Raw genomic sequence first — 18,196 nt, 5'->3', positions numbered from 1 at the left:
CTTCATCTCCATGATGTGGCCTCTGGTCATCTCTCCTACCTCGTCTATTCTCATCTCCCTCCACCAGAGACACACTCTGTCCCCTTTGCTAATTCTAAACTCAAGAGATACATTCCTGACTCAGGACTTCTACTCTGGCTATTCCTTCCACCTATAATCCTCTTTCACACATATCCTCATAGTTTCCCACTTCACTTCTTTCAAATTTTTTGTCAAATGCCATCTTCTCAGTGAGACTTTCCCTGATTACAATTTACATCAACTCAATACGTGCAGCTAATTCTCAATTTCTGCTTCAAATTTATTGCGTGTACTTACAAGCCTCTATAATATTGTGTAACTTATTTTTTTGTTGTTTTTATTGTCTGCCTCCCATACTAACCTGTAATTTCCACAAGGCAAAGTTTTTGTCTATCATCTTCTTTAGTCAAGTGCCTCTGGAACTTAGAATACTGACTGAAACCGTGATAACTCAAAGAAAACTGCTGAATGAATGAGTGAATATATGGGGCTTCTTGAGTTAACAGGCTAGTAAATTAATCAGCAGGTTGAATAGTGCATACTGGATGTTTCCTTTGCACCAATGAATAAGTTGTTATATTGAAATATAAAGAAAGTGGTATAAGTTACAGACTTAGATCATCACTGAATATATTTGGAAATACTGCTTCTCTCCTCGGTTGTTGTCACACTGGGAGCTATTAAGGGATATAAGACTGTTTTAGATTATCATAGTAGCTCCAACATTCCTATTATCAATTAATATCAAGTGACCATTGCTGAAATGCACGAAACAATATTGATGGTTTTAATTTTAAAGTTGTTCCATCAATTTTTTTAGCAAAACTTTAAAGCAATGGACTGAAGTTATATTCTATAGTGACTTGAAAGGCTGTATAATCCAGTTGATTTTTAGCTTTCCTGTGGAGCTTGAATTGTTACTAAGGTTATGTGATAATAAACTCTATTTTTACTATTGAGCATCATGCCAGTATACAATTTTTTTTCAGTTAATGGGATTTCTATTGTATTTTATAGTAACATTTGCCAATTCGGTATCTCCTTTACTCAAAGCAAGATCAAAGGACTTTTTGCTCTCTGATCTCCAGTTCTTCAAACATCCTTGAATGACATTTCTCATTACTTTCTGAAAATACCCAAGGTAAGGCAGAATGTCTGCAATATAATATAGAATCACTTTGTGCCAAAAAAGACAGAGTGGCTAAAATTATTAATTTTATGTTTGCCGGAACTGTTGTCAGCAATTCTGTTACCACTTTAAAAGAAATATTCAGTTCATATGATATTTGAGAAGTATTTTCTCTTCTGCCCTTAGATTCTGCTAAACATCAATCCAATTAACAATAGACTTCTCTCTTTTTTTTTTTCTTTTCTGCCCTTAATGCATTTAAAAAAAAAAAAGAACACTTTACCTCGATAATCTCCTCCTAGGAATCTGACCAAAGAAAACTGTCAGAAATGCTCAGATTTACGTGTATGAATTTCTATCAGAGAATTGTATATAAGAGGGGCAAACTAGAAGAAACCTAACATGTAATAATCAGAAAATAATTAAATCATTATGTATCTATTAATCCTCATGTACCTCAGTAATATTTAATGACACAGGAAAGGCTCATAATGTAATGTTAAATGGGAAAAGTCATATAACAATATAAAATGTTTACATTATATAAATGGATATTTGTGTGCATATACATATATATATGAATATATCCATAAAATAAAATCTAAAAGACCACTAAGATGTTAACAGTGGCTATTCTTGAGACACTGAAGAAATAAAATTTTACTTTTCCCAAAAAAAAAAACAAAAAACAATAGACTTCTCAAGCTAAGCTCTTGTGTCTTCTAGGCACTATCAGACGAAAGGAAAGCCACGAGGGTACTGTGATTTAGTGCTTCTTACCCTGAATTCTGTTGCAATCAGATGAGCTTTGACCATTTTCATTCTATTTCATGATGCTTCATATAAGATTAACTTGAATAAAATGAAGATTCCTTTGGATAGAAAAATATTTAAAAATAAGTTACAAGCTATATTCTCATGTGGCTCTCTTGCCTCAAAAAGATATATTACTAAGTGCAATGTAATGAAGTGTCCCTAACCCAAAAATAAAATTTATGTCCACCCAGAAACTCATGTGACTTTATTTGGAAATAGGGTTTTGCAGATATAATTAGTTAAGATGAAATCATACTGATTTTGTCGACCTGAATTCGACAATGGATGTCCTTATAAGAAAGCCATGTAATGGCACAGAGACATACAGGGAGAATTCCATGTAACAGGTGAAGCTAATTGAAGTGATATCTACAAGCCACGGAATGCCAATGGGGACCATAACCATCAGAAACTAGTAAGAGCCCAGGAAGGATTCTTCCCTAGCCTCAAATGTCACCACTCTGCTGACACCTTGATTTTACAATTCTAGTCTTGAGAACTATAAGAAAATAGGTTTCTATTATTTTAAGCCACCCTATTTATGGTATTTTGTTATAGCAGTCCTGGGAAACGAATAGACTAATATTGAATCTATGAGAATTGTGCTTCAAATGATTTATTTCAACATATTTTAAAATTCTATGTGTTCAACATATTTTGAAATTCTATGTATTTCCCATAATGCATCAATTTCTGATGTATACATTCTTTTGAAGGCCTTCCAGGTTAATGTCATAATTAGGTGTGATTACCCCAAAATCACCCATTTTAAAAATTGTTAACATTCTTAAAATGTTTTTCTTGACTTACTATCATGTGTTCTATGACTCAAATTATGTTTTTAAATAAATCTAGTTATAGAATTATAAGAAATAAGACAATGTGGTATGTCCTATAGAACATCAATTTGCATATGATTCTATAACAAAGAAAGGAAAAATGAAGATATTCCAGAGATAATAGAGCTCTGCATTATATTCCCTGGCCTAACTTATTTTTCCCTTTAAATATAATTGAACCCATGGAGCTAGAGAGTGAAATGACGGTTGCCAGAGGTTGGAAAAGGTGGCAGGGATGGGAGGGGAATGCGGTGATGGTTAATGGGTACAAATTAATGCAGTTAGATAGGATGAATAATATCTAGTATTCAGTAGCACAATAAGGTGACTATAGTGAACAATAATTTATTGTATATTTTAAAATAACTGACAGAATGGAATTGGAATGTTCCTAACATAAATAAATTACAAAGGCGTGAGGTGGTTAACTACCCTGGTTTGATCATTACTCATGGCATGCTTGTATCAAAACATCACATCTACCCCATAAATATATATAACCGTTTTGTAGCCATAGTAATTAAGATTTTTAAAACCCTGTACTGAATGAATAAAGGCACAAATGAATGGAAAATAATTTAAACACCTTTAGTTGACAAAGAGTTGTATCTAGAATAAATAGAACAGTATTTCAATTAAAAAAAGTGTCAACAAACATTTAAAAAATAAAAACAACACTAGAGTTGGCAAGGACGTAGAACAACTTTAACACTAATATATTGCTGGTGGGATCTGAAAACATTAAAATTACTTTGGAAAATAGCTTGATATATTTTTATAAAATTTATTTTCCCTTGCCGTATTTCCTAGCAAATCTAGTTTTCTATTTATCCTAGAGAAATAAAAACTTAAGTCTCTAATTTATTTGTGCAAAAATATTTACCCCATGTATTTTATAAATGTTTAAAGCTAGAAATGACTCCAAATATCTATCAATGGGTGAAAAGATACACAAAATCCAGAGTATTTATACACTAGATGAATCACAAATTGTTTTGCTAAATAAAATAAGCCAAAAAAAGGAGTATGTACAATATCATTCCATTGATATTGTTTTAGAGTAGACAAAACTAATCTACAGTGAGAAAATCAGATAAATGGTTGTCTGAATAAGTAAGTGTGAACACCTACAGCTGGTTGCAAATAATTTATAGTAAAGTCTGAAGGGCTTGAAGAAATCTAGACTCTTGGGAAAAGTCTCTTACAGAGGAGAATCTAAGGTAAAAAAATCAAAACTAGGTCAGTTGCGGTGGCTCACACCTGTAATCCCAGCACTTTGGGAGGCTGAACTGGGCGGATCCTGAAGTCAGGAGTTCAAGACAAGAGTGGCCAGCATGGTGAAGCCCCTTCTCTACTAAAAATACAAAAATTAGCCAGGCGTGGTGGCAGGCGCCTGTAATCCCAGCTACTTGGAAGGCTGAGGCAGGAGAATCACTTAAATCCGGGAGGTGGAGGTTGCAGTGAGCCGGGATCGTGCCACTGCATTCCAACCTGGGCAAGAGACCGAGACTCTGTCTCAAAACAAACAAACAACAACAACAACAACAAAAAATCAAAACTGAGCAGGAAAGGGTTAATGGAGCCCAAAATATAAGGAAGGCTTAGATAAAATTTTGGAACTTAAGCAATTTCAGGAGAGTTAAGAAAATTAAGCTAATATTTTTGAACTTTTCACAAAACTAGCGGTGGAGGAAATTCTAGAACTACAAAATTAGACAGGCTAACTTTAACCATTCTTCTCTTCTAGAATTTAATAAAACTAATTCACAGTAAAAATGTAATAAGAAACCTGATTAAGGGCATAACACACAAAATTATCATTTTAAAAATTAATAATAGTATATATTGGAATTATATATTTATAAATAATAAAATATATTCTAAAGATATGTCAATTGAACATACAACACTGTAATCCAACAGTATAATTTTAAAAAAAGAGAAGATAAAAATGAAAAAAAGTTGTTAAAAAACAGCATAAATATGTTAGTGAACTCTGGAAAGAGTTAAATAAAAGAAAATCATTTCAGGAATGAAGATTTTCCTCTGAGTAACACATGAGCAAACAAAAACAAATCATATTGTATGTGAAAAAGATTAAAAGGCGAAAGCTTTTAAAATTAAAAGAAATAAAAAGACAAAAATTATTTAAGAAAGAAGGGCTAGGCATGGTGGCTTACAACTGTAATCCCAGTACTTTGGGAGGCTGAGGTGGAGGATCACCTGAGGTCAAGAGTTTGAGACCAGTCTAGCCAACATAGTGAAACCTCATCTCTAGTCTCTACTAAAAATACAAAAATTAGCCGGGCAGGAGTGGTGGTGGTTGCCTGTAATCCCAGCTCCTCGGGAGGCTGAGGCAGGAGAATCGCTTGAACCTGGGAGGCGGAGGTTCCAGTGAGTTGAGATCAGTGATAGAGCAAGACTCCTACTCAATAAATAAATAAATAAGGACAAATTAAAACATAGGCAACACATACACACATGTAATAGATTTTTCTGACAAAGAACAACCAAAGCAAGAAAAAAGAAAATGAAAAATGCTACTATTCAAAATCGTCCCTGAAATTACATTTTGAAAGAGAACATCAATTTATTGGAGGAAATTAATCAAGAACAACTAACACTGATACATATTCCAGTATAGTTGACCTTGCATTTCTTTATTGCTGCTACAGCAAATGCTACAGACTTCAAACCTAACACAATTTGTTATCTTTCACTTTTGGAGGTCAAAAGTCAATATGTTCCTTCTGGAGGCTCTAGGCGAAAACCTGTATCTTCACTGACTTTTTTAGCTTCTGGAGGTTTTCCACATTCCTAGGCTTGCAGTCTCATATTACTTCCCCATCTGTCCTCAACATTACGTCTCTTTCTCTCACTCTGATCCTTTCTTTCACCCTCTATTTTAATAAGCACCCTTATGATTACATTGTAGCCACCCAGATAATCGAGGTTAACCTCCCTGTCTCAAAATCATTAACATAATCACAACTGCAAAGTCCCATTTTCCATGAAAGACAACATTTTCACAGGTTCTGGAGATTAAGAGATGGACATCTTTGGGAAACTTTATAGTGCCTACCATGGATTATAAAGAAAGAAAAGATAATGCTTTGGGCATCCAGACAAACAAAATCAACAAAACAAAGGAATTATAAAATACAACCAGATTATCAGCAGACTTTCCAAGAGTAACACTGAGGCCAGACAAAAAGAGAAAATTATCTTTTTTTAACAGTTAATAAAAGAACATATGAGCTACAGATTTATTTTCCAATTAAACACATTTCAAATATAAAAGCGCCTGAAAAACTGTCGTGGAGTATTTTAAGTATTCATAGAATGAGACTTTGAGAGGTCACTGAATGTGCTTCAAACAATTCTAATGACTGGAAAGACATCAGAATATATAAAAACTAGTGCACAACACTGAATATATATATATGTAGAACTAAGAATACTTGTTATAAGAGATGTAAGAGGTATAAAATACATTTTGATGGCTGTATATCTCGTGGTATACTTACAACCGTAAATGGGGAAAACACACAAAATAAACAATTTAAATATAATTAAAATGATGAAAAAATGATACATCCATAGGGTAGAAGAGATTAAGTAAGCAATCTTTAGTCCTGAATTGCAAGTCACAGTGTCAGAGGTCAATTAATGCTTTTCCGTGTATTGCTCTGCCAACTGAAAATGGCTTGAAACAATAACCAAACCAGTATTAAGAACTATTCCTAGTTATTAGATTGAAATGTCATTTCTCAGTAAAACAAAACATGGCTTCTTGAAGTATAGTTGACCCACACCCAGGTCAGAAAGTGACCAGTATGTGCCTAGAACATCTTCTCATACCCAATGACAGGGCCATGTCCAAAGGACTCAGAAGCAAATTTGAAGAGGTGTCCCCTATCCAAAGAAGAAATAATTTAGGGATAATTAAGGAAAAGCATGGTTGCAGATTGAACCCCATCATATATGTTTACATATAAAAAATTGCAAATTATAATAATAATAAAGTCATAACTTTTGGTCAATGTTAGAGACCCAATTCATTCTTTAAAAAATTACTGCTATGATTTTAATATGGTTTGTTTGGCCCCACAAATCTCATGTTGAAATTTTGATCCCCGGTGTTGGAGGTGGAGCCTAGTAACGGTGCTTGGATCATGCAAGGAGATCCCTCATGAAAGGCTTGGTGCCATTCTCACTGGAGTGAGTGAGGTCTCCTTCTTAGTTCCTACAATATCTGATTGTTGAAAAGAGCCTGACACCTCCTCCTATCTATCTTCCTTCCTCTCTTGCCACATGATCTCTGTATGCCAGCTCCCTTTCTCCCTCTGACATGAATGGAAACAGCCTGAATCCCTTGTCAGAAGAAAATGCTGTTGCAATGCTTCTTATACAGCTTGCAGACCTATGACACAAATAAACCATTTTTTAAAATAAATTACACAGCCTCGGGTAATTCTTTATAGCAACACAAGCAGATTAAGGCCATTAGTAATTAAAAGAAAAGAAGAGATGGAGTGCTTCTTTAATAAGGATGAAACCACTGGGTAACCAAATGATAGATATTTCTTTTTTCAGGCAAACAGCTGAAGAAGAAATAATAAAATTATAATATCATCATTTTTCAATACCTATTGGAAAAATGGATTTAGACTTGGAGCATTAAGAACTGCTAAAACTATAAAAAGAAAGAATTACGGTATATGCCTCCTGTTGAAGAACTTACCGCCTATAAATTAGACAAGCAAAAAAACTGAACTTTAATTCTGATTAAGTCTCTCAACTTAGTTATTAATTTATAGAGAGTCACACTAACCTATGCCATGTAGATATATATGAAGGAAACTCTACAGAAAAAAAAAATACAATGGCTTTTCAACAAGTTAATTACAAAGATATCTAGACATAGTTTCTTTAGACAATTAAAGGATACTTTAGGGGAATAAGGAATAGAAGAGCTCAACTGTAGTGTTAAGTGGCACACAACTGGTGGTAAAACTATAAAGAAAAGAAAGGAAGTATTTACTGCAAAATCAGGCTAGTCATTGTTCTTAGCAAGAGAGGGTTTCTGATTGGGAAGAGGCATGTAGAATGTTTCCAGGGAGGCTATATCTCCTGCCCCGACTTTTTGCAGTATAATAATTCATCAAATTATATGTTCTTAATTTACAGTGTAAAAATGATATTTAACCGTAAAAAGTTTCAAATAACCAAAAAGATAACGTTTAATCCAGTAAATTGTTCATTATAGTGAGTGATATCATGTACCATTTATCTCTTATCATCAGGAATGAGAAAGTGACTACACATCCATGCAGTAACGGTTTCTTTATTATTTTCAATTATAAAATTGAAAATCATTTTCTGTGGGTGTACTTGGCAAGAAATACCAAATATTGAAATGATCACAATTCTTGACACAATCACATCATTTGTTAATTTTTTAAATTGGCAAACGTGAAGAAATTAGAATCCTTATACACTATCAGCGAGAATGTAGAATGATGCAGCCAATATGAAAAACAGTATGGAAGTTCCTCAAAAAATTAAAAATATAACTATTATATGCAAATCCCACTTCTGGGTATTTGCCCAAAGTCAGGGTCTTAAAGAATTTTTAGCACTCCCATATTCACTGCAGAATTATTCACAATAGCCAAAACAAGCAACATGTCCATTGATAGATTAATGTATTCTTAAAAATGATATATACATACAATGGAAGATAATCCAGCATTAACAAAAGGAAATCCTGCAATATGTGACAGCAAGGATGAACTTTGAGGACACTGAGCTAAGTGAAATAAGCCAGTCAGAAAAGGTCAAATATTGCATGATTCAGTTTGTCACAGGTATATAAAATAGTCAAACTCACAGAGGCAGAAAAAAATTTGAGGTTGCAAGAGACTGGGGAGAGGAAAATGAGAAATTGTTGCTCAATGGCTATAATATTTCTGTTATATAATAAGTTCTAAAGATCCATTGCATGACATAGCACCTACAATTCACAACACCATACTGAGCCCTTTAGAGGATATATCTCATAAAACTGTTCTTACCACACACACGTGCACACACACACATATACATACACATCGCAAATGAAAAAATTACAGACACAGACACACAAAAACAAGGAAAGGTATGGGCATGGCGGCTCACACTTGTAATACCAGCACTTTGGGAGGCCAAAGCAGGAGGATCACTTGAGGCCAGGAGTTTGAGACCAGCCTAGCTAACATGGCAAAGCCCTATCTCTACTAAAAATACAAAAAAAAATTAGCTGGGCCTGGTGACGCATGCCTGTAGTCCCAGCTACTCAGGTGGTTGAGGCAGGAGAATCACTAGAACATTTGAGGTGGAGGTTGCAGTGAGCCGAGATCATTCCAAAGCTCTACAGCCTGGACAACAAAGCAAGACTGTCTCAAAAAGAAAAGAAAAGAAAAAAATAGCTACGTTAAGCATCTCAATTGTGGTGATGGTATCATGGGTGTATACAAAGTCTAAACTCATTAAAATGTATATATTAAATATGTGCTATTTTTACATATAATTTCTAATTCAATAAGGCTAAAAATGAAATCTACAAAAAACTATTTTTTAAATTTCTAACCATAAAATGTGTGCATTATAGACTGTAACATATATAACTATATTATGTATTTAGAGTATAGAGTATAACGAGAAACAATATAGGCACATTGAACAATTAACAGAGTGCACACACTGGTTGGCTACGAATGAAACATAGTAAGATATTTTGAAAGATTTCTCCCTTGCCATTTCTATTTATTCTAGACCCTTTACTATGGAACTTTCTACATACCTATATTTGACTTCACTTTTCTCTTTTGCTCTCTTTAGCACTTGTCATTATCTTACTGATGTTTAGTTTGCTTGCTTTTCTTGCTTATAGTGTCATCAAAAGTTCTATGCAGGCAACAATTTTTCTTTATTTGGGTCATTGATGAATCTCTAAAGACTTAAAATAGTGTCTGCAATGCAGTAAAATTATAACAAATGTTTACTAAACTGGTAGATACATGATTAAGCCTATATTGTTTTGTAATTTAAAAAATAAATATTATTTTAAAATGTTTATATAAATCCCAGAGTAATGAAAAATTTATGGACATTACATCCCAAACATATGTCAAATTTATTATACCCTTAAACTTCTGTCAAACATTATACCCTTAAACTTATGTCAAAAATTACTATGCTGATCATAAAAATGACCATGTTTTGCTCTTCTTTCAGTTTTTATAGGCCTTGACATTTTTTATATTTCAACATTAATAATTACATTTAAAATGTTACATTGACGTCTGTACTCATGCAATGGCCTTTCTTAACCCAGTTTTATTTTTTAAATGAACTCCACTCTAGCCACCTGGTTTTCAAACATTACCCTCATATGAAAAAATTACTATTGACATGCACCTTGTATTTATTTTTAACTGGAGCTGAATTGTAACAAAGAAAATCTCATGTTTCTCGTCTATGGCAGGAATGTAACAGACTAAATACCACTTGTCTAAAATGCTCCCTGGTTGTGTTGTCCCACTAAATAGATTCACATTGAAATCACAACACTTTTAACAGAGAAAATGAGAACTGCGCATTTTGTATTATTTGACAAGGACATGACATTATGTGTTCAATGTAAGTTTGTGAACTGCATATTCTAAAATGGGTTTATTTTATAAGGATTAAGTTTTCCTTTCAAATACATCTTTGCTGCTTGAATTAAGTAACTACTAATGTAGGAAATCACAGTTATTTCAATAAAGAAAACTCAGCTATTGTGCAAGCATGCAGGAGCACAATCCATTAACCTTTCTGTCCTTGGAAATCAGACTGACATATTGTGCAACTTCAATTAGCTTGTCAAATAAATGCACTACCACTACAATTCTTTTCTTTAGTTCAGTTTTAGGAAACGAGATATGCCAAAAACAGAACAAACATTATAATTTTCTTCTCTGGGAGAAATATCAGGTAATGCATATTGAAGTAGTATTTAAAACTGATGATATTTCTTTATCAAATGTAACATGAATGATAATAGACACGGCTCCTGATTTGACATTTCATTCCATTTTTCTTTTAATAATGAAGACCATGTAGCCCATTTAAAATCGAATGGGGATGGTATTTTCATGATGTTGGCTATATACAAAGCAAAATTTGACTAGATTTTGTTTCTTGTAGCTAAATAACTTACATTGTTGGCCATGCACATAGAGAATAACAAAAAATGTGAGAAATGGAATCATGTATATATATCAATATGTAGATATAGATATAGAAATCATGTATCTACAGCTACGTCTATCTATCTAGCTATTATATATATATATATATAATTGTCTGGAGGTAAATGTATTTCTCTTCATTGTCAATTTCCATAAAATACAAATAATGGCAAACATCTTTATCTTCTTTTATTACAGGCTTGAAACTTGTGTAACTACTGCTTACTTTCAATAATATATTTGACAAAAAAAAAGGTACTCCTCAGGAAAAATAATTGCAATTATTTTAACAAATATTCCTCGAAATATAGTTTTACACCAAATCAAACATAATTGCTTAATTTTTTATTGCAGTGCCCATATATGCTGGTGAAGAAAACAAATTTACCAACTAAAAATGTATGTGAATGAGCACTAATGCTTAGAATATGATCAAAACTTGAATATTATAAAAATAAAGAATATGCAAGGTCAGGCTTGAAGACATTTATCAACTCTACATTTTTTTTCCTTCACTATAAATACACATTTTTTAAATTCAAAGAAATGTCTCTTTAATGGAATGAAGCCATTTATTTTCTAACATGTCTTAATATGTCAATAATTTAAGTTAGTTTTCCACCTTTATTCTTCCCAACATCACAGTCTAATTCATCTCTTTAGACATGATCCAATTATTTATATATAGTTCCCAACTTTTGGTCTGATCTGATACTAGTTCTCTTCCTATTCTGGGTGACTGAAACAAATATCAATGTTGAAATTGAATTCAATCTGTAATACGGTTAGGAAAAAATATCTTGGTGATAGCAACATATAGAATTTTTATAAGGATATATTAATTTTATCTGTGTTAAGGTTATATCTATATTTTGATGTTTTAATATATACATACATTTTACTCACATTTGTTTGGTTTATAGACATGAAGTAAATAAATTAAAAGGGATCCTTGTGTGACTAGATACATACTTGCCAAAAGATGCATCTATTGTGTTCTACTGTATATCTATTGTGGTTTTATTACAGAAATAATATACTTAACAAATATTTGTAAGTGATCTTCAGAAGGTCTGGACACTGAGAACAATTTTAAAGTGAAACACATTTTCTTTGATTTCATTTCTGCAAATACTCTGAATAAAAAAAGTAAATAATGTTTTCAACAAAGTGATTTGTGGCTGCACAAGTGGTGTCATAGCCCGAGTTATCCAGAAAGAAGTGTTTTAGGCAGCAATTTATGTTATTCTTTTACTAGGGAAAGAATCCCTGAGTCAGTAGTCTGAGATGAGGGGAACGAAGTGAGAAAGTTGGGAGGGGTCATTGTTTTTCTAGAATCCTGACCGTTACTACTGATTACATGATCCCTCTAAACCAGCAGTCCCAAAACTTTTGGCACCAGAGACTGGTTTATTGGAAGGCATTTTTTCCACAGCCGGGTGGGAGGATGGTTTCAGGATGAAACTGTTCTACCTCAGATCATCAGGCATTAGATTCTCATAAAAAGTGCACAACCTAGATCCCTCTCATGCACAGTTCACAATAGGGTTCCCACTCTCATGAGAATCTAATGCTGCTGCTGATCTGCCTGGAAATGGAGCTCAGATGGCAATGCTGGCTCAACCTGCCACTCACCTCCTGCTGTGTGGCCCATTTCCTTACAGGCCACAGGCCAGTACCGTTCCATCGCCTGGGGTTGAGGACTCCTGACTTAAATGATCCAAGAAACCAGCTAAACTGCATGTCTCAATTGCCCATGGATGAAAAGAGAATGAAGACTTTATATTTTAGCATTCATTGGCCAAAGGTTTTAACTAACTCCCCCATATTCCAAAGTTGGATCTGGAGGCACTGAGCAGGATTCCATTTTGGTAATGAATGGTAAACATTGTGAGAGAAGGAAAAACTACTGGGGACATACAAGGCAGGGGCACAGAGAAACTACGAGGTTTTGCTCCCATGAAGCAAACTAAAGCCGATGTGCTGTAATAGCCAGGAAAAGAGACGGATGATGTCAACAGACCTGCAGCAGTGGATGAATGTCTGATTTGGGAAGTTACCTTTGCAGTCTCTTAATATTCAATCATTGTCTTGACATGATTGTAGTTTTTCATTAATAGAGACTAAAAGAATAATTACTATATTTAAAAGTATGGATGGCTCTTTTTGTTTCTATAACATTGAAAATATTTTTGAAAATGTCAAGGGGAATAAATTAAAGTATTATTATACATACTCTGGCTTTAGTTTGATTATCAAATAAGAAGAGACACCAAAGGAACAATGCTTCTCTGTTAGTCAAAAGTAAAGTTTATTTTCAATCTTTGTTTTCCGTTTGTACTGCAGAATAGGGAAGACCCCAAAAAAGTTTTTAACTAAATATGAGAATAAAATCAAAGTTGAAAGTATATGAAAATGTCAGATAATGTTAATTGGGGATGGAGAGGTGCTGTTTAAAAGAAGAAAGGAAGAAAACTGACTTAAATGTTGATATATTGAAAAACTATGAAAAAATAACATTTGCCTATGTTCATTTGGAGGTTCATTATTGGAAAAAGGCAGTTCTTATATAAATGCTAACACTATCAAAATGTGATGCTGTGCTAAAGCAATAACTTTGTCTTCAAGTAGCAGACCAGGTTGCTTTCTGCATTGTAAAGTAAAAAACTCAAGCATGATATGAGAGATCTTAGTGAAATAGGTTTGGAAACTTACAAGTCTTTCTGCAACATTTTGGAGGAAAATTTTCTTTCCAAACAAAGTTTAAACTGAGAGGAAGTCTATATATTCTGAAACACAGCACGTATAATTTTTGGCGACGCAAATGCCTTTCCTACTTCAGTAAAGAATGTCTTCCTCAATATTTTGTGATCTGTGTTCTATAATTTTATTTTTTACCAGCAAGCACTCTTCACACAATACAAGGAAAAAAGCTGTGTCTGTTATAAATATCATCCATCACATTTCATAATGACAAGGCTTAGAATAATTTGCACATACTTAGAAGCTTAAAGAGTTATTAAAATATAGAACAGAATAACAAGTTGTTCTCAATTTCTTTACACAGAAGTAACAAGAGTTTCTGGGGGACATACCCAGAAAGAAAATTTGATTTAAAAAAAAAAAAAAAGAATCCCATTCAAAAAAAAAAACCTAGAAGAATTGCTAATGCAGTGAGGTTGAGCAGCTATTTTTAAGAATATAATTAGGTAAAATTTCTATTTCAGCATTTACAGTTAATACATTGTATGTTGCTGAAAATGCTTTTATGACATGTTGGCTCTAAAGATATAACCTGAACAATTGTATCATTTTTTCAATTTTGAGGGAAATGCTTCTTTAGACTTATCAGAAAATTGTCTTTTGAAGCAGAAACCATGAGATGCTACAAAAATCTACTAAATTGGCAAATTAAATGCTTTGTGAAGACAGCATTACACTTAAATTATGAATTTGTAATTTTTCTCTTGCTCTTATCAATAGAATAACAAAGTATAAATGGTAGAAAATAATCTTATTTCTACTATAATTCAAACTATAAATTCAAAAATACAATTCTTGAAATAGACTGGTGGAACATAGCCTAATTCAGTTTTCATGTTGTAAAACAACCTAACACTTTTGTTAATGTTCCAAGCACTTTTTTTTTTCTTTTGCCATCAGCATAAATAGTAAAAGCGTATTGGATGCCAAGGATATTGTCGTTTCTCACGTTGAAGACCATGCCAAATTTCAACATTTAAAAGTTTTTAGAAAAATAGCATCGTTGATAAAAGTTTTCATTGTGAAAAGTTAAGAGAGTTGGGAGTAGTTTCCTCTTTTTTGGTGTTTTCTAATATGTTTTTGTACATAATTAAGTGAAAATATATATACTTAAATATTGTTTATATTTGATCATAAAAATGACAAAAGGAAAATGTCATAAATACATCTCATGGAAAACTTACTTGTATGAAGTTCATGGGGAGATCAATATTCGATTTCCTAGAGAATGAGTCTAGAAAAATAATCATAAATATTTCTATCTATCTATCTGTCTATCTATCTATCTATCCAATCTATCATCTATCTTCCCATCTATTTCTTCCTTCATCAATTTCTCTATCTGATAATGAAACCTGTCTCTTCATGAAAGTTTGGGAACATACAGGGGCTCAGTACTTCTGACTGTGGAACTATAAATGCAAACGATTAATCATTGCAGTAAAGTGAACATGAGTTTCTCAAAGTTAGATTTCAGTATTGTTTTTCCAAATTTGGAAAAGTGTATAATCCATTTTTGTTATTTTAGTTACTGTTAAGTCATGATGGCAGCAGTAACTATAGCTGTAAAGGTAATGGTTACTCTTAGAGCAGTGGAGAAACTTCCCAGTCTCTGTCCACATAGATAGCGAAAGGAAGACACTTCAAACTATGCATGTGGCTCTCAGTTATATTTCTAATTTTCTATGGGATTTTAACATTTAGTATTTTAAAAATTAGGTAAAACCAAAGCTTTATCAAAATATAATAGTGATAAATATGAAATAATCAATACATATTTAACTATATATCTTTATCTCTCCATTTATTTATATTTCTATATCTCACCATACCATGGTCTTTCATTTGTGCTTATTTCCCCAATTATAAGCAACGTTCCAGAACTTCTTTCTATTTATAAAATAAAATATCACAAGTCACTTTTCAAAACATCAGTAATATATGCTGTAGACAAATTAAGAGGAATACACAATTCTGCATTCTAATATTCAATATGAATGCTATGTTACATAAATCTATAAAAGAATCAGGAACAGAATGGAATGCATTTCATGCACAAAAAGTGTTCAATAAACATTAATCATATTATCAAAAATGAGTCAATGATGCATATGTTGCACCATAAACAATGACATATATTTTTAGGCAAAGCATTAAATATAGTGCTAATTCTTATGGTTTTCTTGTTTTGTTTTGTTGTTATTAAACAAAGAGAGTATATCCATTTCTTAGATTATTATGTCTTTTCAATTTAAAAGATTATTATACTAAATGTGCCTGATGTACTTATAAAAAATTTTGATAAGTAATATTTTATTATTTGAAAAATATTCTGGATGATATATTCCTTCTCATGTATACAAAGCATATTTTTACCTCTGGGCCTTTCTACTGCCTGTTAGTTAGGCATGAACTATACTTATCCAGATCTTTTAGAGCTCATTACTAAACTATAATCAAGTCTTTTGAAATATTGTCTCCTTCTCCCAAATTGAAACATGCAGAAACATGAGTCTTTTTAGGTCCAACTTTCCTTCATATTCCTATTTGAAATCATAGCTCCAATCACTTCGTCTCTTTATCATGGTTTATTTTTATTGTGTATATAAAATCATAATGATACATTACATATTTATTTATTCATTGTTTATTTCCACAGTATCAGTCAGGGATCTTAATAGCAGTCAATGAAAGTGATTCTGCTAATGAAGCGAAAATGGTCATTAAAAAAAAAGAAAAATAAAATCAGTTCGCAGAATTGTTTGTAGAGTTGGGGAACTAGCCTCAGAACTCGACAACATGATGGAGAAAAAAATTGCCCGTCAGGGAAACATCATGATTGCCATTGCCTCACTGAGCCCTGGAGGCAACTGCTGCTTCTAATGATACTGCCAGCTTCATTGATGCCTTTTCTGTGCCCAAAACTCAATCCACAGCTGCTCCTGAAATTAAGATGCCTGCTGAATTAGCCAAAAATTAATTCCCATCTCCTTAGAGTTTCCTTCCTCAATTCGCTCACTTCCAAATCAAAGTCTCTCATTAATACGTTTGAATGGTACGGGTTTGGCTCAATAAAATTTGAATGCATTTTACAGATTGTGATTTTTTTGTATATTGTCTCTGCGCACTTAAGCTGCCATAACAATATGCCACAGACTGGGTAGCTTAAATAATATAAATTTATTTCGTCACATTTCCGGAATGAGGAAGTCCCAGATCAGGGTGCTGGCACTGTTGATTTTTGATGATGGTTCACTTCTTATCTAGCGGAGAGCCGGCTTCTTATTGTGTCTTCACAAGGTACAGGGATGGGAGACTGAAGTGGAAAAGGGGGGTTAGACAGAACCATCTCTTTGGTGTCTCTTCCTATAAGGGCATTAATTCTATCATGAGGGCCTCAACGCCAGGACCTCATTGAGCCCTACTTACTTCCCAAAAGCTTTCTTTAAATTATTTGGGAAAGAAGTTAGTCGGATGATTTTATATTTTTAATGTATTTTACTGAATTTTACAGAATAATTATAATCTTTAAAGATGATCTCATTGCAGAGATATCCCAAAACAGGACAAAATTATTATTATATTAATTATACTTCCAAAACAATAATATAAGAGTGGTTTCAAGTGTACATAAATTAAGTCAGTCACGATCATTTGAAGTTTTGAGAAAGCATGTCATGATTTATTCAAGTTGGACAGCTGAGATGCCAAACATATGAACAAATTGCACGCAGCTCCCCTTTTTCTCAAAAAGAAGACTCTCTCCTATATTTTGTGAGTAATTGGTTCAAGTCTCCAAATCATTTTTCGATGTAGATTCAGAATTTTATACATGTATATACTAATAATACCTTAATAAATGACAAAACATTTCTTGCAATAACATATTACATTAAAGCTTCACTAAAAAATTGATGGCATCATGAAATCCACCTGAAAAGATTGAATCAATCTATGATTTAAGAAGTGTGCACTTTTTGATACAGTGGGTAGGTAGGACAGATGTTGGAAGATAACAAAACAGATGCTAAATGATTCTCTTTTTACAAGACATTTATAAAAGAGAAACAAAATTAAATGTCAAAATGATAGAACTACTCTCAGTTCAGAGATATAAACCTCCCCAAACTCATTAAACTGGAAACAACAGCCAAAACAGGTGTTTACGTAAGTGGGAGCTTAAAACTTATATGGTGTATGGGAAAATAGGTTCTTACTAGAATAAGATACATATGCCAATTTTCCTGTTCATATTTAAAATACCTGACAGTGATATTTTGATAGAGGCTACTTTATTATCTGTATCTGTGGGTGTATTTAAATGAATACAATTTCAACATCACAAATATATA

This window comes from Homo sapiens, chromosome 21, assembly GCF_000001405.40.
Source record: "Homo sapiens chromosome 21, GRCh38.p14 Primary Assembly".
Taxonomy (NCBI): Eukaryota; Metazoa; Chordata; class Mammalia; order Primates; family Hominidae; genus Homo; species Homo sapiens.
Note: the sequence above shows the minus strand (reverse complement) of the source record.